Genomic DNA, 27,889 nt, shown 5'->3' with positions numbered 1-27,889 from the left:
GCTGTAGTGTAGCGGCTACAATCTTGGCTCATTGCAACCTCTGCCTCCTGGGTTAAAACGATCCTCCTGCCTCAGCCTCCTGAGTAGCTGGGCCTACAGACAGGCATGTGCCACCAGGCCTAGCTACATTTTTTTTTTTTTGAGAGGGAGTCATGCTCTGTCACCCAGGCTGGAGTGCAGTGGCATGATCTCAGCTCACTGCAACCTCTGCCTCCCAGGTTCAAGCAATTCTCCTGCCTCAGCCTCCCAAGTAGCTGGGATTACAGGCATCTGCCACCACGCTGGGTTAATTTTTGTATTTTTTGTAGAGTTGGGGTTTCACCATGTTGCCCAGGCTGGTCTTACTTAACTCCTGAGCTCAAGCGATCTGCCAGCCTCGGCCTCCTAAAGTGCTGGGATTACAGGCATGAGCCACCACACCTGGTCAGTGCTGACTTTTATGTGTACACACAATATCACCTATACAAAGTTTACAAAAAAACACAAAGCATTAAATCGTGTTTATGAATCTGCACATATGATATAGACGTTTAATATCAGCCAGGAGAATGGCAGATGACAGAAATCAGAGTAGTGCTTACTTCTGTGGGGGATGAAGGACAATGAGATGGGAGGGAGGGTGAGAAATACCTAGCACCTCAGCTGTCTGTGCTCTTTCATATCTTTTAAAACAAATGGATCCAAATGTTAAGCAAATGGATCCAAATGTTAAGATTTGATAAAGCTAGCTACAGATATCTGTATATTGCTCTCTATAATTTTTGATATGTTTGAACTATTCCAAAAAAATAAAAAGAGAAGAGTTCAGTATAAATTCACACAGCTAGTTCAGTGGCAAAGCCTGGACTTTTGACCCTGGGTTCAGTGCTTACTTCACTATGACATTGGACTTGATTGCTTTCTACACAGACCAAGTTGAATGCCTTATGGGGTTCTACTTGGTGATAACATGCCTGTTATCCATATGTTTCTACTTTAAGCTGGCCAGAGTGCATGTTGAGTGAATTTGGGACAATGCTTCATAGAATTACATTTTAAGTCTGTCTCTTGATTTCCTGACTGGTTAGAGATGAACGAATGCATTTTTCATCAATGTATCCCTTTGGGATTCTGAAAATAGCAATTTACCACAAAATTACTCACCAGCCTGACAATGTTCGTTCTTAAAAGAGTTGATATTGGATTTCTTGTCAGATTGCCAATTTCTCCTCTTTCCAATTAGATTCATTTTTGTTTTATCTGGGCTGAGCTTCAGCCAGTCTTGGACTTGGTCCAATGAGCTACTTGGGTTATTTCTTCAGAGAGCAGGGAGCCTGTTTACCTGGGTTTCTCACAAAGATTCCAACTTCTCCTCTTTCCAATCAGGTTCATTTTTGTTTTATCTGGGCTGAGCTTCAGACAACCTTGGACTTGGTCCAAAGAGCTGCTTGAGTTATTTCTTCAGAGAGCAGGGAGCCTGTTTCCTGGATTTGTCACAAAGACTCATGATGCCAAGGAGTGCAGGTACTTTGGTGGCACCAAAGTCCATGGTGTTCCATGATCTCCCCCAGTGGTATCATTGCTTACTCTCCTCAGAAAGAATGACAGATGAGCCACCCAGTGGCACTCAAGGGATGAACATTTGCCCACTGTTATCAGGGGGTCTCTAGGATAGGAATATAATTTTCCCCACTCATTTTAAAATTTAATAAATCACTTCCAGCTCCTCACTTTACAAAAAAACAAAACAAAACAAAACAAAAAAACCCTGATAATTAATTGATCTACATTACCAGTATTTCCATTGTTCCATTCACATGTAATTTCACAATGCCTAAAGAGGACAAATACCGGTGGATGGGCTTTACTCAGTATGGATAAACTCCACTGGATAAATTCAGTGTGAATAAATTCCACTGGAGTACACTTAGGGTAGAATAATTCAAATTATACTTTAAAAATGATTGGCTCTAAGAAATCAAATGCAATTGAGACCTACATAAGGAGTTTTGTAGCCAGTAAGAAATTGCAAAAATATGCCAAAGAGGTTTGGTTTCATTAGAAATAACTTTTAAGAAATATTTTCTTGCATTTGTAGAAAATGACGAGGCTTCTGAGCATAGATAGTTGAACGAATTTCTGCTTCGTGAACCCTGAATATATTTTATCAGAAGGTCTAGAGAATAGTTGCCATATGTGAATAAATAGTGATGGGGAGGGGACATGGGACTCTAGTCCAGAAACACAAAGGCTAAGAGAAATATGGACCCCAGACCTGAAGTTTCCAGTTTCCAAAAGAGTCTCATGCTCAAAACACAGCCCTGAACAAAGAGCCACTGCACCTGAAGGATCCATACCATATGGACATGTGGGCTCTGCACTCTGATGACAATAACTAGAAGCATTCTCCAGTGCAGTGGCGATCACATTAGATCTTAGTGACTTTCCACTACAGTATCCAGGATGGGGGCCGGGCTGAAGAATGTCTGAGATAAGTATGTCACGATGGACAAACACTACAAGTTCCTATGGAAAGTTTACAACTTTCACTTGTGCACAAGTTTCTAGATCCTCTTTTCTACTATCTTCCACTCCACCTCCCACGTGTTATCACTTTTTCCTTCTCTATGGGATAGTCCCCATAGTGCACAATGCCTCAAATATTAATACCTGATGCTTGACCCCATTTCTGTTTCCTGTTAACACCCTTTTTCTTTGTTCTCCTTTCTTGTAAAACTATTTTGTAGCATTTGTTCTTGTAGAATTTTTTTCTTATTGTTCTTTCTTGAATCTGACAGAATTAAGACTTGCTACTACCACTCCACTGAAACCTCTCATCAAGGTCACCAGTGACCCCTATATGGCTAAATCTAATGGTCAGTTCTCAGTCCAAGACTTATTAGACCACTTGGTAACACTTGACAGAAATGATCACTCCCTCTTTCTTGAAACACTTTCTTCACTTGGCTTTTGGTCAGTTCTCTGCCTGAACTTCCATCTCCCTTGCTTTCTCCTAATCGTCAGGTCTTTAAATATCAAAGTATTGTGTAGCCATGATATTCACTCCATAAGTGAGCTCATATATCTTATGACACTTTATAATGTCTATGTGTTGAAGACTGCCAAATTTGTATCTCCACCCTCTCCTCTGAACTCCAGACTTGCATATTCAACTACATACTTGATATATCCTTTGGTGAGAACTTGATGTGCCCTAAACAGAACTCATGATATTGTCCTCAAATCCGTTCCTTCCCTAATATTCTCCATCTTAGTAAATGGCACCTACCACTTCTTCAGGTGAAAAACTTTGGGTCATCTTTTCTTGCCTCTTAGTCTCATACCTAATATCTAATCTGTCAGTAAATGTTGTCAACTCAATCTTCAAAATATAACCTGAATCTGACCATAACTCACCTTTTCTACTCCTAGTCCAAACCACCACCTTTCACCTAAACAAGTACAGTAGCCTCTTAACAGGTCTCTTTAATTTCACTCTTGCTTCCCTTCCAGCAATGGTCCATTTCCCTGTAGTAACCACTGTGATCATTTAAAAACATTATTAGATCATGTAACTCCCTTGCCTCAGCTTGCTAAAAATTAAATAAAAAATTCCCACCATAGTCCTACCTATTAAAGGACTTTTGATTACCTCTCCAGTTTAATTGCCTACAACTCTTCTGCCTGCTCATTCTCTTTCAGTGAGATCAGCCTGCCTGCTGTTCCTGAAATACACCAAATATATTACTTTTTCTTGGTCCTTATACTTTCCATTTCCTCATCTGGGGAAATTCTTCCCCCAGTGTCCAGTGGCTTATGCTGTCCCTTTATTCAGGTCTCTGTTCAAATGTCACCCTATTACAGTGGTTTCTGGAACTACCTGATTTAAATTCAAACCGTCTTCACCTTATCTGCCTGCACAGATCATAATTTGACATTATATGTTTATTATCTGTCTTCTCTACTAAAACGAAAGTTCCATGAGTACAGGTCCTTTATTTTATGTATTGCTCATTTCCAGTGCCTGGAAAGTGCCTGGGATATAATAGGGGATCAATAAACGTTTCTTGATTTAATTAATAAACAGGTAAATTTTCCAACCCATCCTGGAAAGATAAAACTCAAGAGCTCAAATTAAGTTGATTGAAAGACTAGAATTACTGAAGCATTACTATTTGCACATCTGAATTTGTAAACCGGGGGTCAGACCTACTACAATTTTAATTCTAGTTGGCCATTCTACCACAAGGCCCTCCCCATCTCAAAGCATCCTATCTCTATATTAGTTTTCCTGAAAAATATTGCTTTTATGATGTTACCTCCCTTTTCTTAAACCTCATAATGGTTATCTACCATCAACATTGAGACCAAACTTTTCTACTTCTGTTTTCAAGGTCTTTGCTAACCCTATTTATCACCTTGGCTGTGGGATTCAACAGAATTTTCTCCATTCTGATCCCAAGCACGGGCTATGCTTATTTTCATATTTAAACTTTGACTCATGACATCCCTACCACTCAGAATGCCTCCTTCCATTCAAATCTCACCTTTCCCTTAATCATTTTCTTAGTTCTCAGCAACTTCATGACCTCTTTATCCTTACCTTTGTACTTTACATACAGTGAACCCTTCCCATCTCTGAGTATGTCTGTCCAGTGCCTGACAATACTGAATATCTGTTAGACTCCATTACTTATTGATTGACAAATTATTTAGCTGAGTATTTGAAAAAATGTATATTAAATATGGTGAGTGCTTAGTTTATTTTCTCTGTTATGAAGGTTATTCTAAAAAAGTAAAATGATAGTCCAGTTTTGTTCAAATTACTTTATTTTAATGAAATTCATATTATACAGTACTTTTTTAATCATTAGAGTATTACTAAGTAGTGCAAAAAAGGATTCAGTCCCCTAAAGTTAGGGCTGGCTAGGAAAGTCAATGTGATAATTTAATTTTTCTAATTTTCCTCTGCCCTACCCATGGCAGAACAGCTTTCTTATTTTGCCTGGTAAATTTGCACTTCATGATATTTTTTCTTTTTCCTTTTTCTTTTCATTCCTGAAGTTTGGTTGGGTCATATTAGTATTTCAAGTAAAATTGATATAAAACGTATACAGTGCCTGTGTCAGTCAGGGTCCAATTAACAACAAAAGCACACATTGGGTTAAATTTAATACAAAGATTTATTAAACTTCGATAAAAGAACAACTACAAGGAAACTATGGTATTCTAGACCTGGGGGGGCAGGTACATAAGGAAGGACAATAAGAGTTCAGATCTTATTGGAGAAGGTGTAGTTCAGCACACTGGATAGCAAAGACGCTTGCTGGTCTGTTCTAGTCAGAGCTGGTCTGCAGTCCTGGGCAAGTAGGAAGTAACTCTTTGGAATGCATGTAGAACACAGTAATCAGTGATCAGGGTGCACTTGCACATAGAGATTAGGGGCTGGGATACAGGTGAGCTGTGCCTGGATCTGCAATGGGTGGGAGTGGAGGCAGGTGCTGGGACTTGCGGGAGGAAATGTCAGTAGCAAAATGAGTGGTGGTTTAGGGCACCTGGGGTGAGCCGGAGGGCTTTGGGGCCCGTTTCCCCGTACGAAAACTGCTCAGGAATGTTATCGCCAGTCCAGACCGAGGCTGCAAGATCGCAGACATTCTGTGTAGCAGTCAGAAACACTGGGAGACCACGGTCCTTCTCACAGTGCCTCTTCGGCGCCCTCTACTGCAAAAACAGAACATCGTGCTCTGTGGAGATGCTGAAAGGAGTGTCAACTGTTACACGGCATATACGTAAACATGAATTGGAGCAGAGAGGCAATACATTGGTAACTGGCACAATGTTTACCTAAGTATAGATGTACTTATCAAGTATAAGTGTATTTGAGAAGTTGCGTATGAATACTTTGGCAAAAACAATCCATATTAAGAGAACATGTCAGTAATGAATAAATACAATGACAGTCGTCCCTTGGTATACTCTGGGGAATGGTTCCAGGATCCCCATGTATACCCAAATCCAAGCATACTCAACTCCTCCAGTTGGCCCTGTGGAACCCGCATCTTTTTGCATAGCATTTTATTAATGTATCACAATTTACTTTTCTATTCTCCTGTTGATGACATTACAGTTGCTTCTGGGTTTTGGCTATCTTGAATATACCTGCTATAAACATGAGTTTCTGTGAAGCTATGCACTCATTTCGTGTGTGTGCATAAAAAGAAGTGGAATTGCTTGGTCATAGTGCTTTAGTAGTGGGCCATGTTTAGCTTTAGTAGATGCTGCTAAACATTTTTTGAGTGTTTGAACCAATATCCATTCCTACCAGAAAGTATGAGAGTTCTAGTTTCTCCATATTCTTGCAAACAGTTGGTATTGTCAGTCTTTTTGTTTTTAGCTATTCTTGTGGATACTTTTTTAAAAAATTAAATTAAATATAAATGTACAATTGTAGTTCTCAATATTTAACCCGTCTGTTCTGATAAATACAAAAACCTGTTTCTCTCAAATGCTATCTGAAATTTCAAAGTAAAAATAACAGCAATGATATTTAAAAAATTTTTTATTTCCAAAGCTTTCGGGGTACAAGTGGTTTTTTTGTTACATGGATGAATTATATAGTGGTGAATTCTGAGATTTTAGCCCACCCATGGCCAGAGTAGTGTACATTGTTACCTAATGTGTAGTTTTTTTTTATCCTCAGCCCCCTCCTATCCTCCCCCATCTGATTCTCTAAAGTCGATTGTATCACTCTGTATGTTTTTGCCTACTTGTAACTTAGCTTCCACTTATAAGTGTGAACATACAGTTTTTGGTTTTCCGTTCCTGTGTTACTTAGACTAATGGCCTCTATCTCCATCCAAGTTTCGGCAAAAGGTATTATTTCATTCCTTTAATGGCTGAGTAGTATTCCATGGTGTATATACACCACATTTTCTTTGTCCACTCGTTAGTTGATGGGCACTTACGTTGGTTCCACATCTTTGCAATTGTGTATTGTGCTGCTGTCAACATACGTGTACAAGGGTCTTTTTCATATGATGACGTCTTTTCCTTTGGGTAGATATCTAGTAGTGGGATTGCTTGATCAAATGGTAGATCTACTTTTAGCTCTTTAAGGAATCTCCTCCATACTGTTTCCCATAAAGGTTGTACTAATTTAAATTCCTACCAGCAGTGTGTAAGCATTCCCTTTCCCCACATCCACATAAACATCTATTGTTTTTTGATGTTTTAATAATGGCCATTCTTGCAGGAGTAGGGTGGTATCTCATTGCAGTTTTAATTTGCTTTTCCATCATGAGTGATGTTGAGCACTTTCTCATGTTTTTTGGCCATTGTAGATCATCTTTTGAGAAATGTCTATTCATGTCCTTTGCCCATTTTGTCCACTTGTTTTGTTTTTTTTTTCAGAGGGAGCCTCACTTTGTTGCCCAGGCTGCAGTGCAGTGGCGCAATCTCGGCTCACTGCAACCTCTGCCTCCTGGTTTCAAGTGATGCTTAAGCCTCAGTCTCTCAGTTGTAGCTGAGACTACAGGTGTGCACCACTATGCCTGGCTAATTTTTGTATTTTTAGTGGAGATGGGGGGTCTTACTATGTTGTCCAGGCTGGTCTCGAACTCCTGAGCTCAAGCGATTCGCCCACCTCAGCCTCCCAAAGTGCTGGGATTACAGATGTGAGCCACCAGGCCCGGTCTTTGCCAGCTTTTTAATGGGATTATTTGTTTTCTTTTTCTTGCTGATTTGTTTGAGTTCCTTGTAGATTCTGGAAACTAGTCCTTTGTTGGATGCATCTTGCAAATATTTTCTCCCCTTCTGTGGGTTGTCTGTTTACTTTGCTGATTATTTCTTTTGCTGTGCAGTAACTTTTAAATTAGGTTCCATTTACTTATCTTTGTTTTTGTTGCATTTGCTTTTGGGGTCTTAGTCATGAATTATTTCCCTAGGGCAATGTCTAGAAGAGTTTTTCCAACATCGTCTTCTAGAATTTTTAGTTTCAGGTCTTATATTTTAGTCCTCGGTCCATCTCGAGTTGATTTTTGGATAGGATGAGAGATAGGGATCCAGTTTCATTCTTCTACATGTGGCTTTCCAGTTTTCTCAGCATCATTTATTAAATAGGGTGTCCATTCCCCAATTTATGTTTTTGTATGCTTTGTTGTAGATCAGTTGGCTGTATGTATTTGGCTTTATATCTGAATTCTCTATTCTGTTCCATTGGTCTATGCATCTACTTTTTTTTTTCCCAGTACCATGTTGTTTTGATATCTATAGCCTTGTAGCATACTTTGAAGTCCAGTAATAGGATGTCTCCAGATTTGTTCTTTTTGCTTAGGATTGCTTTGGCTGTTCAGGCTCTTTTTGGTTCCACATGAATTTTAGGATTGTTTTTTCTACTTCTGAGAAAAAGTGATGCTGGTAGTTTGATGGGAATTGCATTGAATCTGTAGATTGCTTTGGGCAGTATGTTCCTTTTCACAATGTTGATTATTCCAATCTATGAACATGGAATGTGTTTCCATTTGTTTATGTTGTCTATGATGGCTTTCAGCAATGTTTCGTAGCTCTCCTTGTAGAAGCAATGGTAATTTTTGAAAATGTGTTCTCAACTTACATATGCTTCCACTTTATGATCTATACTAGCTCTCCACTGCAAAAATTTACAATGATAATACAACAAATGTTTGTTTTCTCACTCAGCGAGCACAAAAGATTATTTCTGATTCCAAAGTGATTATTGTGTTTATCACTTTTAATTGTATAATATGGCAGGGGAAAAATCCTGATTATATGAGCCCTTTCCCTGTTTAGGTACTTTAAAAATAACTGGAATTTCTAGGTAAACATTAAATGCATATACACAGTCATCATTTGCCTGGTGGTTAAGAGTATAGGCCAGGAGTCACACTACCCATTTGCAATCCTAGCTCTGCTAGTATGTTGAATAAGAAATTGTTTTGATGGGGGAGTTGCTGAATAGGAACAGCTCTGGTCTACAGCTCCCAGCGAGATCAACACAGAAGACAGGTGATTTCTGCATTTCTGCAGAAACGTGACTTCTGCATTTCTGCAGATACGTGACTTCTGCATTTCTGCAGAAACGTGACTTCTGCATTTCTGCAGAAACGTGACTTCTGCATTTCTGCAGAAACGTGACTTCTGCATTTCTGCAGAAACGTGACTTCTGCATTTCTGCAGAAACGTGACTTCTGCATTTCTGCAGATATGTGACTTCTGCATTTCTGCAGAAACGTGACTTCTGCATTTCTGCAGATATGTGACTTCTGCATTTCTGCAGATATGTGACTTCTGCATTTCTGCAGATATGTGACTTCTGCATTTCTGCAGATATGTGACTTCTGCATTTCTGCAGATATGTGATTTCTGCAGGTGATTTCTGCATTTCCAAGTGAGGTACCTGGTTCATCTCGTTGGGACTGGTTGGAAAGTGGGTACAGCTGAAGCAGGGCGGGGCATCATCTCACCTGGGAAGCACAAGGGGTCGGGGGATTTCCCTTTCCTAGCCAAGGGAAGCCGTGAGTGACTGTACCTGGAGGAATGGTACACTGCTGCCCAAATATTGTGCTTTTCCCACAGTCTTCGCAACCGGCAGACCAGGAGATTCCCTCCTGTGCCTGGCTCAAAGGGTCCCATGCCCACGGAGCCTCACTCGCTACTAGTGCAGCAGTCTGAGATCAACCTGGGATGCTGGAGCTTGGTGGGGGAAGGGGCATCCACCATTGCTGAGGCTTGAGTAGGCAGTTCTATGCTCACAGTGTAAACAAAGTGGCAGGGAAGCTCGAACTGGGTGGAGCCCACCGCAGCACAGCAAGGCCTACTGCCTACCGAGATTCCACCTCTGGGGGCAGGGCATATCTGAACAAAAGGCAGCAGATAGCTCCTGCAGACTTAAACGTGACTGCCTGATAGCTCTGAAGAGAGCAGTCGCTCTCCCAGCATGGCGTTCGAGATCCGATAATGGACAGAGTGCCTCCTAAAGTGGGTCCCTGACCCCATGTAGCCTGACTGAGAGACACCTCCCAGTAGGGGCCACAGACACCTCATTCAGGCAGGTGCCCCTCTGGGATGAAGCTTCCAAAGGAAGGATCAGGGAGCAATATTGGCTGTTCTGCAGCCTCCGCTGGTGAAACCCAGGCAAACAGGGTCTGGAGTGGACTTCCAGCAAACTCCAATAGACCTGTAGCTGAGGGTCCTGTCTGTTAGAAGGAAAACTAACAAACAGAAAGGAATAGCATCAACATCAACAAAAAGGACATCCACACCAAAACCCCATCCGTAGGTCACCAACATCGAAGACCAAAGGTAGATTAGACCACAAAGATGGGGAGAAACCAGAGCAGAAAGGCTGAAAATTCCAAAAACCAGAATGCCTCTTCTCCTCCAAAGGAACACAACTCCTCGCCAGCAAGGAAACAAAACTGGATGGAGAATGAGTTTGACGAGTTGACAGAAGTAGGCTTCAGAAGATCAGTAATAACAAACTTCTCCGCGCTAAAGGAGCATGTTCTAACCCATCGCAAGGAAGCTAAAAACCTTGAAAAAAGATTAGAGGAATGGCTAACTAGCATAACCAGTGTAGAGAAAAGCTTAAATGACCTGATGGAGCTGAAAGCCACAGTACGAGAACTGCGTGAAGCATACACAAGCTTCATGAGTCAATTCGATCAAGCGGAAGAAAGGATATCAGTGATTGAAGACCAAATTAATGAAATAAAGTGAGAAGACAAGATTAGAGAAAAAAGAGTGAAAAGAAACAAAGCCTCCCAGAAATATGGGACTATCTGAAAAGACCAAATCTACATTTAATTGGCATACCTGAAGGTGATGGGGAAAATGGAAAGAAGTTAGAAAACATTCTTCAGGATATTATCCAGGAGAACTTCCCCAACCTAGCAAGGCAGGCCAACATTCAAATTCAGGAAATACAGAGAACACTACAAAGATACTCCTCGAGAAGAGCAACCCCAAGACACATAATTGTCAGATGCACTGAGGTTGAAATGAAGGAAAAAATGTTAAGGGCAGCCAGAGAGAAAGGTCGGATTACCCACAAAGGGAAGCCCATCAGACTAACAGTGGATCTCTTGGCAGAAACCCTACAAGCCAGAAGAGAGTGGGGGCCAATATTCAACATTCTTAAACAAAAGAATTTTCAATGCAGAATTTCATATCCAGCCAAACTAAGCTTCATAAGTGAAGGAGAAATAAAATCCTTTAGAGACAAGCAAATGCTGAGAGATTTTGTCACCACCAGGCCTGCCTTACAACAGCTCCTGAAGGAAGCACTAAACGTGGAAAGGAACAACCAGTACCAGCCACTGCAAAAACATGCCAAATTGTAAAGACCATCAATGCTATGAAGAAACTGCATCAATTAATGGGCAAAATAACCAGCTAACATCATAACGACAGGATCAAATTCACACATAACAATATTAACCTTAAATGTAAATGGACTAAATGACCCAATTAAAAGACACAGACTGGCAAGTTGGATAAAGAGTCAAGACCCATCGGGGTGCGGTATTCAGGAGACCCATCTCATGCACAAAAACACACATAGGCTCAAAATAAAGGGATGGAGGAAGATCTAACAAGCAAATGGAAAGCAAAAAAAAAGCAAAGGTTGCAATCCTGGTCTCTGATAAAACAGACTTTAAACCAACAAAGATCAAAAGAGACAAAGAACGCCACTACATAATGGTAAAGGGATCAATTCAACAAGAAGAACTAACTATCCTAAATATATATGCACCCAATACAGGAGCACCCAGATTCATAAAGCAAGTTCTTAGAGACCTACAAACAGACTTAGACTCCCACACAATAATAATGGGAGACTTTAACACTCCACTGTCAATATTAGACAGATCAACAAGACAGAAAATTAACAAGGATATCCAGGACTTGAACTCAGCTCTGGACCAAGTGGACCTAATAGACATCTACAGAACTCTCCACCCCAAATCAACAGAATATACATTCGTCTCAGCACCACCTCACACTTATTCTAAAATTGACCACATAATTGGAAGTAAAACACCCTCAGCAATTGTAAAGAACAGAAATCACAACAAACTGTCTCTCAGACCACAGTGCAATCAAATTAGAACTCAGGATTAAGAAATTCACTCAAAACCACACAACTACATGAAAACTGAACAACCTGCTCCTGAATGACTACTGGGTAAATAACGAAATGAAGACAGAAATAAAGATGTTCTTTGAAACCAATGAGAACAAAGACACAACATACCAGAATCTCTGGGACACATTTAAAGCAGTGTGTAGAGGGAAATTTATAGGAGTAAATGCCCACAAGAGAAAGCAGGAAAGATCTAAAATCGACACCCTAACATCACAATTAAAAGAACTAGAGAAGCAAGAGCAAACACATTCAAAAGCTAGCAGAAGACAAGAAATAACTAAGATCAGAGCAGAACTGAAGGAGATAGAGACACAAAAAACCCTTCAAAAAATCAATGAATCCAGGAGCTGGTTTTTTGAAAAGTTCAACAAAATAGACAGACTGCTAGCAAGACTAATAAAGAAGAAAAAGAGAAGAATCAAGTAGACACAATAAAAAATGATAAAGGGGATATCACCACTAATCCCACAGAAATACAAACTACCATCAGAGAATACTATAAACACCTCTATGCAAATAAACGAGAAAATCTAGAAGAAATGGATAAATTCCTGGACACATACACCCTCAAAACTGAACCAGGAGGAAGTTGAATCTCGGAATAGACCAATAACAGGTTCTGAAATTGAGGCAATAATTAATAGCCTACCAACCAAAAAATGTCCAGGATCAGATGAATTCACAGCTGAATTCTACCAAGGTACAAAAAGTTGCTGGTACCATTCCTTCTGAAACTATTTCAATCAATAGAAAAAGAGGGAATCCTCCCTAACTCATTTTATCAGGCCAGCATCATCCTGATACCAAAGCCTGGCAAAAACACAACAACAAAAAAAGAGAATTTTAGGCCAATATCCCTGATGAACATCCATGTGAAAATCCTCAATAAAATACTGGCAAACCGAGTCCAGCAGCACATCAAAAAGCTTATCCACCACCATCAAGTTGGCTTCATCCCTGGAATGCAAGACTGGTTCAACATACGCAAATCAATAAACATATTTCATCACATAAATAGAACCAACGACAAAAACCACATGATTAACTCAATAGATGCAGAAAAGGCCTTCAACAAAATTCTACAGTCTTTCATTCTAAAAGCTTTCAATGAATTAGTTATTGATGGAACGCGTATCAAAATAATAAGAGCTATTTACGACAAACCCACAGCCTATATCATACTGAATGGCAAAAACTGGAAGCATTCCCTTTGAAAACTGGCACAAGAAAAGGATGCCCTCTCTCACCACTCCTGTTCAATATAGTATTGGAAGTTCTGGCTAGGGCAATCAGGCAAGAGAAAGAAATAAAGGTGGGTATTCAATTAGGAAAAGAGGAAGTCAAATTGTCTCTGTTTGCAGATGGCATGATTGTATATTTACGAAACCCCATTGTCTCAGCCCAAAATTTCCTTAAGCTGATAAGCAACTTCAGGATACAAAGTCAATGTCCAAAAATCAAAAGCATTCCTATACACCAAGAACAGACAAACAGAGAGCCAAATCATGAGTGAATTCTCATTCACAATTACTACAAAGAGAATAAAATACCTAGGAATACAACTTACAAGGGATGTGAAGGACCTCTTCAAGGACAACTACAAACCACTGCTCAGCGAAATAAAAGAGGACGCAAACAAATGGAAGAACCTTCTATGCTCATGGATAGGAAGACTCAATATCGTGAAAATGGCCATACAGCCTAAGGTAATTTATAGATTCAATGCTATCCCCATCAAGCTACCACTGACTTTCCTCACAGAATTGGAAAAAACTACTTTAAAGTTCATATGGAACCAAAAAAGAGCCCACATAGCCAAGACAATCCTAAGCAAAAAGAACAAAGCTGGAGGCATCAGGCTACCAGACTTCAAACTATACTACAAGGCTACAGTAATCAAAACAGCATGGCATTGGTACCAAAACAGAGAGATAGACCAATAGAACAGAACAGAGGCCTCAGAAACAACACCACACATCTACAACCATCTGATCTTTGACAAACCTGACAAAAACAAGAAATGGGGAAAGGATTCCCTATTTAATAAATGGTGCTGGGAAAACTGGCTAGCCATATATAGAAAATTGAAACTGGATTCCTTCCTTACACCTTACACAAAGATTAACTCAAGATGGATTAAAGACTTAAATGTAAGACCTAAAACCATAAAAACCCTAAAAGAATACCTAGACAATGCAATTCAGGACACAGGCACGGGCAAAGACTTCATAACTAAAACACCAAAAGCAATGGCAACAAAGGCCAAAATAGACACATGGGATCTAATTAAACTAAAGAGCTTCTGCACAGCAAAATAAACTATCATCAGAGTGAACAGGCAACCTACAGAATGGGTGAAAATTTTTGCAATCTATCCATCTGACAAAGGGCTAATATCCAGAATCTACAAAGAACTTAAACAAAAGTACAAGAAAAAACAACCCCATCAAAAAGTGGGCAAAATATATGGATAGACGCTTCTCAAAAGAAGACATTTATGCAGCCAGCAGACATATGAAAAAATGCTCATCATCACTGGTTATCAGAGAAATGCAAATCAAAACCACAATGAGATACCATCTCACGCCAGTTAGAATGGCAATCATTAAAAAGTCAGGAAACAACAGATGCTGGAGAAGATGTGGAGAAATAGGAATGCTTTCACACTGTTCTTGGGAGTGTAAATGATTTCAACCATTGTGGAAGACAGTGTGGCGATTCCTCAAGGATCTAGAACTAGAAATACCATTTGACCCAGCAATCCCATTACTGGGTATATACCCAAAGGATTATAAATCATGCTACTATAAAGATACATGCACAGGCATGTTTACTGAGGCACTATTCACAATAGCAAAGACTTAGAACCAACCCAAATGTCCATCAATAATAGACTGGATAAAGAAAATGTGCCATATATACACCATGGAATACTATGCAGCCATAAAAAAGGATGAGTTCATGTCCTTTGCAGGGACATGGATGAAGCTGGAAACCATCATTCTCAGCAAAATATCACAAGGACAGAAGACCAAACACCACATGTTCTCACTCATAAGTGGGAGTTGAACACTGAGAACACATGGACACATGGAGGGGAACATCGCACACAAGGGCCTGTTGCAGGGTGGGGGGCTGGTGGAGGGATAGCTTTAGGAGAAATACCTAATGTAAATGACAAGTTGATGTGTGCAGCCAACCAACATTGCACATGTATACCTATGTAAGAAACTTGCACATTGTGCACACGTACCCTAGAACTTAAAGTATAATAAAAAAAAATTGTTTTGACGATAACAATACCTACTTCATGGTTATTGTGAAGATTAGATGAGTAAAAGAAAAAAGGACCTAGAAGAATGCTGGCACATAGAAAGCACTCAAGGATTGCTGGTCACTGTTATTAGCTATTGAATATTTGAGGGAACAGAAAAAATTTCTCAATAAAGTTTGACATGGAAATTTAGATAATATGCTAGTCCAGCTCTCTGGCATATAACATAATTCTAAGAAGGATCTCTCTTTTTAGTAGCCACTCAATACTTCTTGGACATTACTCAGTGATAATTACTATATTCTCTCTCAGAGTATAACAGCTCCTTTCCTGTATGTGAAAACCCCACTGAAGAAAAGTCTCACTTTAGGGTTTTCAAACTTTGAAAGCTGGTTGCAGCTTTAAACTTACAGTTCTTATACAAGTGCAGCATTAAGAGAGTTGCTGTGCACCTGTTAGTTTCTAGCCAATGAAGTTATATCATTCTCAGAGATGTTATTTCTTTTCTTCTTTTCATTTTTCTGAGACGGAGTTTTGCTCTTTTGCCCAGGCTGGAGTGAAGTGGCGCGATCTTGGCTCATTACAACCTCCGCCCCCTGGGTTCAAACAATTCTCCTGCCTCAGCCTCCCTAGTAGCTGTGATTATAGGCACCCACCACCATGCCCAGCTAATTTTTGTATGTTTAATAGAGACAGGGTTTCGCCATGTTGGCCAGGCTTGCCTCAAACTCCTGACCTAAGGTGATCCACCCGCCTTGGCATCCCAAAGTACTAGGATTACAGGCGTGAGCCACCATGCCTGGCCATGGGATGTCATTTTTGAGTTTGGTTAATGTACAGGCAATTCTGCAATATCTATGTTTAAGACATTAAAAGCATGGTTTCTAATACTAGACTACTTAGGATTGAATCTTGGCTTCACTACTTCCTAGCTGTATGATCAAGGGCAAATTGCTTAATCTCTCTGTGCCTCAGTGTTCTCAGTTGTAAAACGGGGATAATAAACACGGTTACTGTGAGTACCAAATTAGTTAATACATAACGTAAAACACTTTAAACAGTGCCTGACATCTAATAAATGCTATCTAAATATTATAATAGAAATTTATGGTTAAAATAGAAGAATTAACTAAGTTGAAGGACTGTACAATAAGCCATCAATATGTTTCTCAATCCCAGACAGACCCCAGAATGAATTTTTGCAATCTACCTGTCAGTATATATGCACATGTATCTTATTGGAAAACTCAGCAAAATCATAAGATTTAGGTCCTGGCCCTCAACTATTTTCCTTAACAAAATCTACTTTAGGGAGATGCTGTGAAGGTAAAAATTAGCATGTCCCAGGGAAAGCTCATTGCACACTACAAAGGACTATGACAATAACAGGCTTTAGATTTATTTTCTACATTGGCTCTAGCATTTTAGAAGGGTACTTTTACTACTCAAGCCACTTTCCTGCAACTCTCCCCCGAATTTCCCTCCTTCACAGTGGCCAACCTCAAAGCGTTTTCAATGTAAGTGCCTTTCCTGTTAGTGAGACTTCCCTATGAAAATAAATAGTTTAAAGGTTGTTGGAGCCTAAAACTCACTAAGCCTGGAGAGAGATGTGACTGTCATCTGAGTTACACGTGGTTACAACTTCTGTTTCTCAGATTATAGATTAACTTGCTTTCTTATTTTTCTTGTTCTATACAATGGCTAGAGAGAATTAAACGAAGTTAAGGACAAAAACTTCCTGCCTTCTTAATGATCCTTATAGATTAACTTCTGCTTTGTTGCCCCGGTTTGCTTAGACCAGATGACAGAAAATCCTTTATGAAAAATGTTAAATGTACACTTCCCAAAAAGAAACACTGTCTATAATCAAATTGTTGTAACTATTCTCTAACCTTGTATGAGAAAATGCTGTAATCCTGCTAAAAAACCTCTCAGTTTCTGCCTATATAAGTGAAATCTTAAATCTCTACTTCGGAACGCTGACTCCTTCCTTGGAGTCGGTGTTTCTAGGTAGGCTATCCTCAAACTTCGCGCTTTTGATTATTTTACATTGACACCTCCTGTCATCCGCAAGCTCAAAGGCAAGGCTAATAAAAGATGGCAGAGAGCCAATTAGGGACAGAGCCATGTAATCCTCATACCCAGGTGAGTTTAGGGCAGTCTTGCAGAAGCAGAAGCAAATTGTGGGGTCACGAAACCCTCCGGACCCGCCCGCCTCCACCACCACGCGCCCCTATGACCTTCGACCCCTCCCTAGCCCCAGAGCACGCCGGGAGTTGTAGTTCCCAAAGGCCTGTTCGGGCCAGCGCAGGCGCTTGGGGTTTCCCTCCCACCCAACCCCCGCACTTTACCGGATAAGGAAGCGGCCCGTGCTGCCACGCAGTCGCCGGAACGCGGGCGGGGGCTTCTGGGAGTTGTAGTCTGTTGGGGGCGTGCGCAGTCGGTAAGGAGACGTAGCTTTCCGTGGGGTGTACCACTGCAGTTGGTTCCCGGCGGGAGACGCAGGGTCAGTCTGTGACTCTTCCCCTACCACGCTCCCGCAGAGGCTGAGGAGGCGGTTTCGACTTCTCCTCCGGCTTTCTGTCTTCGGCACTGTGTGCTTCTTGCTCCGCGGTTTATTTCTGTACCTAGTCCTCCCTCCCCTCTTCGGTCCATCTCCAAAGCCCGGGCTTGGCGGGGACTCGCCCTCCGGTAAAGGCAGGGCCGCGACCTCCTAAAACCCGGTCGCCGCCCTGCAGGAACCTTCCTCACTCGGCCCCTCACACCGGGTTTCCGCACTGACCCTCCTTCGCCTCGGTCCTCGCTGCGCTCACCTCCTTCCACTCTTTTTTTTTTTTTTCTCCTTTGCAGGGATGGAAGCTTCCTGGCGCCAGGTGGCCGGTGGCCGAGGCCGATCCCGGGGACGGGCCACTGCCGCCCCCTCAGGAAATGGAGTCCATCTCCGCGGCGCCGGAGGAGGGCGAGAGAAGGGGTCGGTGGGCGCAGTTCCTTCTGGCACCAGTCCCGGAGGAGTCGCGACCACGGCGGCTGCAGGGAGCAGGCACAGCCCCGCAGGATCCCAAGCCCTGCAGACTACCGCAGCCAGCGGTGAGAATGGCTCCCGCCCGCGTGCTCACCTGGATGCCTCCTAAGGCAGTTACTAGTCAGGACCGCCTCCGCCCTCGCCTTCTTTCTTTCACTGCTTTTCCCCTCGTTCGGGAGTTTGTTATCGGGCCCACTTCTCCAGCCTTTCGGGTGGCTGCTCTTTTCGGCACTCTAGGTAGATTTCCATCGCACCTCTTTCATCTTAATTTTAGGTGGTATTACCTTTGTTACTTCCCTCCACTCTTGCCTACTTGAATCTCCAGACCATCAGTTGTAAATTGTGGCCCGGTGTTCTGATTTGGTCTATAATGTTGTTTGGTTAACACAGAGTTTTAAATGTGGATTGATTGTCAGCGGTTGTTTGTCGTTTTTAAAAATCTGGTTAACAACCTTGTGGCTTTAGTTATCTTTGTGCATGGCAACAGTCAGCTCGGCTGAGTCACAGAAATCCCATTTAGATTGGACTTGGGCATTCCATCTCACATTCTCTCTCATTTCTGGAGCCAGGTGTCATTTGTCATCTTTACCTTTGCCTTTGTTTCTTGACTTGTCTTATTCCTTGTAAGCACTTGAGCTTTTGATACCTTCCTTGACTGTAGTTCCTATTTACAAATTCCATGTCCTTCTGTGGACATATCTGGTGTTGCCTCCGATATATCAATACTTTTCATCCAAGACCATGTTTTCGTGGAGCCAGGGAGGACTTACACACAATTGTGCATGGGGCCGAGGGAATAATCCCTGAAATCATTTTATTTTTGTGTTTGGAATGCATTTCAGGATACATTTTTTTGGGGGGTGTGGAGCAGAATTGAGTATCTTGAATGATTTTTCTCCTAGGCTAATTTGAAAGGTAGGTGGTATTCTCTTAGCATGCAGTTAATGGCCGTGATGATAAGGTATACAATATGGAGACGTGTGAACAGGTTTGGTAAACTTTTTTTTTTTTTTTTTTTTTTTGAGACAGAGTCTCGCTGGTCGCCCAGGCTGGAGTGCAGTGGCGCAATCTCGGCTCACTGCAAGCTCTGCCTCCTGGGTTCAGGCCGTTCTCCGGCCTCAGCCTCCCGAGTAGCTGGGACTACAGGCGCCTGCCACCACGCCTGGCTAATGTTTTGTTTTTTGTTCTTTGGTTTTTTTTTTTTAGTAGAGACGGGGTTTCACCGTGTTAGCCAGGATGGTCTCCATCTCGTGGGTAGAAGGAAAACAAGCATTCTGTCCGGGCGCGGTGGCTCAAGCCTGTAATCCCAGCACTTTGGGAGGCCGAGGCGGGCAGATCATGAGGTCAGGAGATGGAGACCATCCTGGCTAACAGGGTGAAACCCCGTCTCTACTAAAAATACAAAAAATTAGCCGGGCGGGGTGGCAGGCGCCTGTAGTCCCAGCTACTCGGGAGGCTGAGGAAGGAGAATGGCGTGAGCCCGGGAGGCGGAGCTTGCAGTAGCCGAGATTGCCCCACTGCACTCCAGCCTGGGCGACAGAGCAAGACTCCGTCTCAAAAAAAAAAAAAAAAGAAAGAAAAGAAAAAGAAAACAAGCATTCTCTACCTGGACAGTTGAGATTTGGCTGTAAGAAATAATACGTGAGAAGGTTGTCTTGTCAGCTTCTCTTTACTTTGAGATGATGTTAGGTGAATACATTTATCAGGTTATGAATGTTCTCATTATCTCTGTCCAGTTCAGCCTGTTTTCTTATGTATCTTTTAAGTGCTAATTTCCCGTATATTAATGACATTTATCATCTCTTTTGTGACAAGTTTTGAGTTATATATCTCATAGCCAGTTCTTTTTTCCCAGTACTCAAAGCTTGCTAGGTAAGCATGATACACATTTTCGTCGAGGTTTACTTGAAATACTCAATTTGTTTTGTTAATAACCCCTAACCAAACTGGCTGCAATAAGAAAAGGAAAATGTTTCATGAGGGAACATAATCAAGTACGAATATACCACCCAAGATAAGAGAGCTTATCTTGGTAGTGGCTTATCAGTTTTAAGTATAATGTTAATTTTAAAATAGTCAATCAGTAAATTTAAAATCCTCTCAAGATGGGAATTCATGAACTCAGATCAGTTCTGCAGGTTTGTGGCTCCTTTCTTAAACTATGTTTGCTGTCCGTAAGAGCTTATTAACACTTAGTGCTTGAAGAAAATCCCTGTGGTCCTTGCTCTCAAGAAGTTTGAAGTTTCTTTGGGAGTATGTGCAGTGAAGTAATCTGGTTTTGTTTTGCATGATTAATCAAGTAACAAAATGAGAAGTACAGGTAGTGCTGAATAGTGGAAGAACGAATCCAAAATTAACATTCTTTTTGGAATGAAGTTGGAAGAAACATGTTTTCCATGTTAATACTTTGTGTGGATTAATGTAAAATATGTTTTTTTGTGTGACCACAAGAAGTCCATAATAAAGGCAAAAAGTTCTTGACCTAAGAAGCCGATTGTAAATATAGTGGGTGCATAGTGAGTACTGTTGGTACAAACTCTTTGGTAGGGCTGGACTGGACTGGGCTGGGCCGTCGTGTCCTATCCTACCTGTTGTTCAGAAGACGGTAGTTTGAAATACCTACCTTCCCTGATTCTTTATGTGCTCACTGTGGACATGTTCCCTCACTTCTTAAAAATTACTGTGCACAATGTACTTTAAAACATCTTAATTTTTGTTAGTCCTTATTTTGAAGTTGATCACCAGTATTTTGATAGTTTTATTGTATTTTCATATTTTTTTTCTTGATTTGTTAATCACCGTTATCATAAAAATTTGCTGCATTTTAGCAGGATACTTAGAAAAGTGAAAGTTTTTGTTGTGGTATTCTCTTTAGTTGTGTGTCAAGGAATTTGAAAATACTTTTCTCGTGGATTACAGGAAGGTAGAATGCTCCAAAGGTGACTTTCAAATGTGTGTTGTAAAATGATATATTAGCACATTATGCTTTTCTTTTTGAGAGATTGTTTTGCAGAAATGAAACTTTTTTCTTTTAAACAGAGCTAATGTCTCAGAAAAAATTTGAAGAAATCAAGAAAGCTAACCAAGCTGCAGCCAGAAAACTTGTTGAAGAACAGTTTAGCTCTTCATCTGAAGAAGGAGATGAAGATTTTGAAGGAAAACAGGGAAAAATACTTGCAAATACGTTTATAACATACACTACTCAGACAGGTACTGATCTTTTAAATTTTGACTTTTGACGTCAATGAAACTGTATTCCTGACATTTTTTTGGTAATGCCTTTGTTCTATATGGAATAGATTTTATATCTTAAGATGAGCACTGTATGTTATAGAGTTGAATTTTTGTACACTTTGGTATTTGAGTTATATATTGTGTAACACTAATTTTTCTATAAAGCAAATAGAATGGCAGTGGCTCTTTTATAGCCTTAGGAGGCCTTTGTGTGTATTTAATTGGCATTTCAGTAGAATGCTTGGATGGGGCTGCTAAAGCTCCTGAGCGGTGGACTGGGGCAAGTTTTTTCTGGTTGTGATGATTTGATTGAACTAGAGTACTTTGTGTACTCCTTTCAATCTATTCATTTTTTTTCATCATGTTAAATGCGTCTTGAAGTCTTTTTAATTCTTTATTTCCTTATTTTATATCTTATTTACAACATCTGATTTTCATGTATTTATTTTTAGAGTTGGGGTCTTGTTCTGTTGCCCAGGCTGGAGCGCAGTGGTACGTAGTGGTGCGTAGTTCACTGCAGTCTTCAACTCCTGGGCTTAAGTGATCCTCCTGCCTCAGCTTCCTGAGTAGCTGAGACTACAGGCATGTGCACTGCACCTAGCCGTACTTTTTTTAAAAAACCTAAATTTCCTCAGGTTTGACATGTACATTCGTGTTATCTGTGGTTTATATCTGATTGCTCTTAAAGCCACGTTTGTTTATGTGAGAGAGGGCCAAAGTGATGTTGCTGTGTACCACTTTAGTATTAAGTGTAAAAATAGATTATTTTAAATGTAAATATTATTAAACTTTCTGCCTTTTATACTTTAAAATTATTATTAGAAATATTCTTGTATGTAGGCCAGGCATAGTGGCTCACGCCTATAACCCCAGCACTTTGGGAGGCCGAGGCCGGGGGATCACTTGAGGTCAGGAGTTTGAGACCAGCCTGGCCAACATGGTGAAACCCCGTCTCTACTAAAAATACAAAAAAATTAGCTGGGCATGGTGGCACACACCTGTAATCCCAGCTACTCAGGAGGCTGAGGCAGGAGAATTGCTTGAACTTGGGAGGTGAAGGTTGCCGTGAGCTGAGATTGCGCCACTGCACTCCAGCCTGGGAGACAGAGCAAGACTCCGTCTCAATTAAAAAAAAAAAAAGAAAGAAAGAAATATTTTTGCATGTAATGTCAACATTTATTAATATATTTGTAGATATGTCATATTGTTTATATACCTTTTATTAGTAATATATATTTATGCCCTTGCTTGGTTCTTTTTCTTACTTTAGTATACTGTTAAAACCAGGAAAAACCTTACAAATATTTTGGGAAACAATTCTACAGAGGAGAGGTGACTTTCCTAGAGTTAGACAATTAGTAATTGGCAGAGCTGGGTTTAAACCTAGTTGACTTAGCTTTAGAGCCATTACTGGGCTGATTTCATTTTCTCTGTAAAAGCAGGAAAATTCTGAGGAGACTAGACGGTTACTTTTGTACCTGTTTATGGGGAAAAAGCAGCATTGTACAGCAGTTAAGAACATTGACACTTGAATCAGATTGCTACGGTTTGATTCTTGGCTTTGTTACTTGGCTGTAGGATGTTTGACATATTGCTTAGCATCTTAGGGGCTTAGTTTCTTTTGTAAAATGGGTATAATGATACTAAATACTGTAGAGTTGTTAGGATGAAATGAATCAGTATGTGTAAGTACTGTAGTGCTTACAGTAGTGCCTGTTGTGTAGTCTGTGCTGTATATCTGTTTGCTGGAATGTTTAATGTATTTTGTGGCTTGATTATTAGAGATTTTCTATCGTAACTGCTGCTTTCTTTTAAAAAATTTGTTTCTTTTTTTTTTTTTTTTTTGCGACGGAGTCTCACTCTGTCGCCCAGGCTGGAGTGCAGTGGCGCAATCTCAGCTCACTGCAAGCTCCACCACCCGGGTTCATGCCAATCTCCTGCCTCAGCCTCCCGAGTAGCTGGGACTACAGGTGCCCGCCACCATGCCCGGGTAATTTTTTGTGTTTTTAGTAGAGACGGGGTTTTACTGTGTTAGCCAGGATGGTCTTGATCTCCTGACCTCGTGATCCGCCCGCCTCGGCCTCCCAAAGTGCTGGGATTACAGGCGTGAGCCATTGCGCCAGGCCAAAAATTTGTTTCTTTTTTCAGTCATGTCTTCCCTTGATCATAAGGCCCCACATCCTAAGCTCTCTCCATCTACACTATACTAATGTGTTCCTTAGTTATTATCTTGTGCTTTCATGAGAAGTATAAGGCCAGTGATGCCAGGATTCAGGCCTGTTAGTTAGTATGACAGAATCAGAAGCATAGCAGAGTTTGAGCATTAGTTAGCATAAACGCAAATAAAGAGCATGAGAGTTAGTCTTTTTTTTTTTTTGGAGACAGTCTTCTTCTATTGCCCAGGCTGGAGTGCAGTGATGTGATCATAGCTCCCTACAATCTTGAACTACTGAGCTCAAGTGACCCTCCTGCTTTAGCCTCCCAAGTAGCTGGTACTGCAAGCACACACCACCATGCCTGGTTAATTTTTTTAGAATTTTTTTGTAGAGACAGTGTTTTCCTGTGTTGTCAAGGCTGGTCTTGAATTCCTGGCTACAGAGAATTCTCCCACCTCAGCTTCCCAAAGTGGCAGGCGTGAGCCACTGTGCCTGGCTGAGAGTTAATCAAGTCTTCAGACAGAAGGATCGATGTATTTCACCTTTCCCTTCCCAACACATAACCTTGGTGATTAGATAGTTGCCTGAGTATATTGATAGGATCATGAAGATAGTTGTACATCATCAAGTAGGTTTCTAAGGAATTTACCATATCTGCTAAGGAATTAAGATTAGGAAGTTTGGCTGAGAAGTCTAGGTTGGCAAGGTAAGAATTGATAAAAAGTAACTCTAAGGTTAGAGGGTTTCTTGTTTCTGAAGGACCTTATAGAAAATAATCTTAAGAAGTTTTCTGCTTTGAGAGGAACTCACTTAAACCATTCTAGATAGAGTCATTTTATTTTAAAATAGAAAATGCAATAATGTCTTTCAGTCTAGTATGTAGAAAACATTTGTCATTTGTAAGTTTTATTAATTTTTAATCTGGTTTTAATCTTAAAAGTGTTATGGTAATTTTTTTATGCTGTGTTTTGTATAAAATCCATTAGTATATGATTCCCATTCCTTTGCCTCTACCAATGTAAGAAAATCTGATCACTTGATTTAAGAACATACATTCCAGAGTAATGGGATGGTTCCCACCTTAACATTAGTGAATTGAAGACCAGGACTTTACCAAAGGAGTTCATTTTTATTTGAGCACAGCCTTTGCATTTTTGTGATTCTTCTCTCAAATTTCAAACTTGCATGGCCAACTTCCTGATGAGTATCTCTATCTTGCTGGCACGTGGACCCATCAAACTGCTGTTGAAAGAGAACTTATTTATTCTTTTGTTTTCTTAATCTTAATAGCACTACAGTTTTCTCAGTCACCCTCCCAAGCCAGACATCTGGGAGCAGAGATGGCATATGCATGTCATTTACTGCAATTCTCCCTCTGCCCATGTTAGCTCAGCAGACACAGCCCTCTTTCCTTCTGAATCTTGACATGAACATCAGCTTTTAAAACAGACACAATCTCATTGTCACCAAGTCCTCCTAAGTTTTACTTCCTAAATTTCTTAAATCTACCCTTACTCTGCCTGTGTACTGTCATTGCCTACTTCAAGCCTTTACAGCTGCTTAACATGTGGATTAAATCCATATGATAATTGTGAGGTAGATAACTGTTACTACTAGTTTTACAGATGACAAAACTGAGACACATTAGGTAACTTGCTCAAAGTCATTTTTTGCTTAATCTGCTGTAACTGTCTCTTAACTGGTACTTCCAGCTTTCAGTCTTGGCCTCCACATACTCATTTTTCTTTAGTTGCCAGAGTCATCTTTTTAAAATGCATGACTTCAAATAGCATGCTATCCGCTGTGATGTGCTGGGCAGTACATTTTATTGATGCAGCCAAACTTTAATACATGTTTCAAAGAAATCTTACATAAATTTTTAAAATATAAGGTTGGTTTTTATTTTGTAAAAGCCTGTTCTATCTTCTTCTTAAATTCTGTTTTTTGAGTTAGCTGTTAAATTAGATGAAATTTAAAATGTTTTGTATCTGTTAATGCCAGCTTTGTTGAAAAGCAAAATAGGCGCCCCATACTATTCTGCTTTTAAGGATTTTTTTAAAAACTTCAATGTTTGTTTAAAATAAAGCAACTGTCTTTAATAATTTTATAATAATTTATAGTTTTGAGAGTATGTTTGCGTTTATTTTGCTTAATGTTCTAAATCATATTTATTTTATGGTAGGGCAAGCTTTTGTAAGTGCCGTGTTTACTCAGATGATTTTAGAAAGTAAAGAATTAGCCACATGTCCTATTTATTTAATTTTTCTTTTTGGCAACTTAAATTTTGGCTTGAACCACGTTATTGCCATGGTAAGTTCTGTACTTATGGTAGTTTACGTTTTAATCTACTTTTTTTGAAGACTCAGTTAACCACTATTGAACAATCTTTATTGTTTTAAAGGCATGTAGGCTTATTTCTCTCATACTAAAGTGACTCAGATTATTGTCCTTTTGGTGTCATTTGTGCTTTAGAGGACTCATTCTGTTTTTCATTTTGCTGTTGCTTGTTATTTGTTGGACCTTCCTGCAGTAACTGCTCACTGCAGTGCAGCATAGAGGTTAAGAGGGTTCACTTTGTAGGCAAACTGAAGTTAATTCTTTTGTGCCTCAGTTTTCTCATCTGTAAAATGAAGATAATAGCTCATTTAATCCTATTGAAGTACTAATAGTACGGTGTCTAGCAAATAAGCACTCAATAATTACTGAAAGAAAATAATGTCAGGTACTGTTTTTTCTAAAAAGCTTATGCTACCTTCTTAAGCAGAAATAGTGAACATGATTTCATGAGATGTGGCTATTGTACTGTAAAAACCTCAGGGTCTTTTCATTCAACAACTTTTTATTAAGAATACACCTGCTAAATTCATACACACACACCCACCCCCACCCCCACTCACTCACATCTATGCTTATATTTATGCTCAGTGGCTCTACTAATTAGTTTAGGCTTTTCCTTTCACACTTTGCTTTTCCTTAAGACTTTACATCTTGCTGCTGTTGCTTATGGCTCTGCTTCTGCCAAATTTGTTGAGAATTCTAACAGCCAAAAAAGCAAGTATAACTGAGAGAGAGAGCTGAGGTACTGATTTTGAACAAAGTACACAAGATTTAATACACAGACTTCGTTACCTCTTGACAGCTCATTGGTTACTTTTTTAAAAAAAACTTCTTGTTTTACAGCTATATTTTGAGCAATTGATATTGCTAGACAGTTCTTACATAATATGGTGCTATTAGTGAGTTTGTGTTATTTTCAGATGTTGTTTAGGGTGAGATTTTCAATCTTTAAATTTCCAGATGGAGATACACGTGAATTAGAGCGAACAAAACAATATGTAAATGAAGCTTTTCAAGCAGGGGCTATGACATGCCTAATTTGTATTGCTTCGGTGAAGAGAAACCAAGCAGTAAGTTTTTCTCCTTATTTATATTAATGTATCTCCCCAAAATACCTTAGTTTGCCTTACAATACTTAACGATTTATTATTCTTTTGTTTACTTATGTTTAAAAATGCTTCATTTGAGAATTTTGTATATGAATTGATCTTCATTTTAAAATCTGTAATTAAAAAAAAATTACCACTAAATGAGTATCCAGTATTTTTAGCACTATTGATATAACTTAGTTGTCTTCAGTTTTAATGCAAATGTTGATTTGATAGAACATTTTTAGCATCTGTACTTTAGAGATTCCCACAAAAGTGAAATGTTAAATGTACTATATTTTATTACTTTTGGAAAAAGATACGGTCCCTATCTTCAAGAAAGTAGAACTTGGCAGTAACACTTATGGCTTAATTAGTTAGCGTATCCTGTGTTAAAGGCATTTTGGGAAGTGGTGAGGGTCAGTCGGGAGAGAGATTCAGACAAAACTCATGTCCTTGGAGGAGATATGGCGTAGTGATAAAGATATATATGTGTAAATTTAAAAGGGCATTAATGAAGCAATTAAGAAGTGATTACTGAATGTGAAAGACTCAACATTTAGACCTTAGATTAATTCACTGCTATTATAGCAGCATTGCCTAGAGAAAGCAAATCAAGTCAGATGAAATAGT

The 27,889-nt window shown here is 40.0% G+C and overlaps 1 protein-coding gene and 1 long non-coding RNA gene across 5 annotated transcripts in view, besides 4 other annotated features; one reads left to right on the top strand and one right to left on the bottom strand.

Moving 5' to 3' along the window:
• Positions 1-18,248, bottom strand: part of LOC101927157 (uncharacterized) — a 76,511-nt gene extending 58,263 nt beyond the window's left edge. Inside the window, exon 1 of the long non-coding RNA NR_125879.1 lies at positions 17,771-18,248. This is a non-coding gene — a long non-coding RNA (uncharacterized LOC101927157). The remainder of the gene's footprint in view (positions 1-17,770) is intronic.
• Positions 9,244-9,743: an enhancer, noted in NCBI's record as "NANOG-H3K4me1 hESC enhancer chr4:47924749-47925248 (GRCh37/hg19 assembly coordinates)". NCBI's record gives its function as "activates a minimal SCP1, AML or CMV promoter by ChIP-STARR-seq in naive H9 embryonic stem cells {active_cell/tissue: H9 hESC(naive)}" and the evidence as "EXISTENCE:reporter gene assay evidence [ECO:0000049][PMID:30033119]".
• Positions 17,652-18,337: an enhancer, noted in NCBI's record as "H3K27ac hESC enhancer chr4:47916155-47916840 (GRCh37/hg19 assembly coordinates)". NCBI's record gives its function as "activates a minimal SCP1, AML or CMV promoter by ChIP-STARR-seq in primed H9 embryonic stem cells {active_cell/tissue: H9 hESC(primed)}" and the evidence as "EXISTENCE:reporter gene assay evidence [ECO:0000049][PMID:30033119]".
• The window catches only part of NFXL1 (nuclear transcription factor, X-box binding like 1), a 67,435-nt gene continuing 57,353 nt past the window's right edge, over positions 17,808-27,889 (top strand). For 2 of the 4 annotated variants that reach the window (NR_103795.1, NM_001278623.1), the window contains exons 1-4: positions 17,808-17,862; positions 18,270-18,506; positions 21,481-21,651; positions 27,129-27,238. Coding sequence is in view for 3 of the 4 variants with exons in the window: in NM_001278623.1 (NP_001265552.1) it covers positions 18,272-18,506; positions 21,481-21,651; positions 27,129-27,238 (516 nt within the window). In the remaining variant the exon portion in view is untranslated. Of the gene's footprint in view, positions 17,863-17,891; positions 18,111-18,269; positions 18,507-21,480; positions 21,652-27,128; positions 27,239-27,889 lie in introns of those variants that run through there. The other 2 variants (NM_152995.6, NM_001278624.2) reach the window with 2 other exon arrangements.
• Positions 17,912-18,141: an enhancer, noted in NCBI's record as "active region_21532". NCBI's record gives its function as "activates an Ori minimal core promoter by ATAC-STARR-seq in GM12878 lymphoblastoid cells {active_cell/tissue: GM12878}" and the evidence as "EXISTENCE:reporter gene assay evidence [ECO:0000049][PMID:35858748]".
• Positions 18,338-19,024: an enhancer, noted in NCBI's record as "H3K27ac hESC enhancer chr4:47915468-47916154 (GRCh37/hg19 assembly coordinates)". NCBI's record gives its function as "activates a minimal SCP1, AML or CMV promoter by ChIP-STARR-seq in primed H9 embryonic stem cells {active_cell/tissue: H9 hESC(primed)}" and the evidence as "EXISTENCE:reporter gene assay evidence [ECO:0000049][PMID:30033119]".

This window comes from Homo sapiens, chromosome 4 (assembly GCF_000001405.40).
Source record: "Homo sapiens chromosome 4, GRCh38.p14 Primary Assembly".
Lineage (NCBI taxonomy): Eukaryota > Metazoa > Chordata > Mammalia > Primates > Hominidae > Homo > Homo sapiens.
This window is presented reverse-complemented; position numbering and strand designations above follow the sequence as displayed.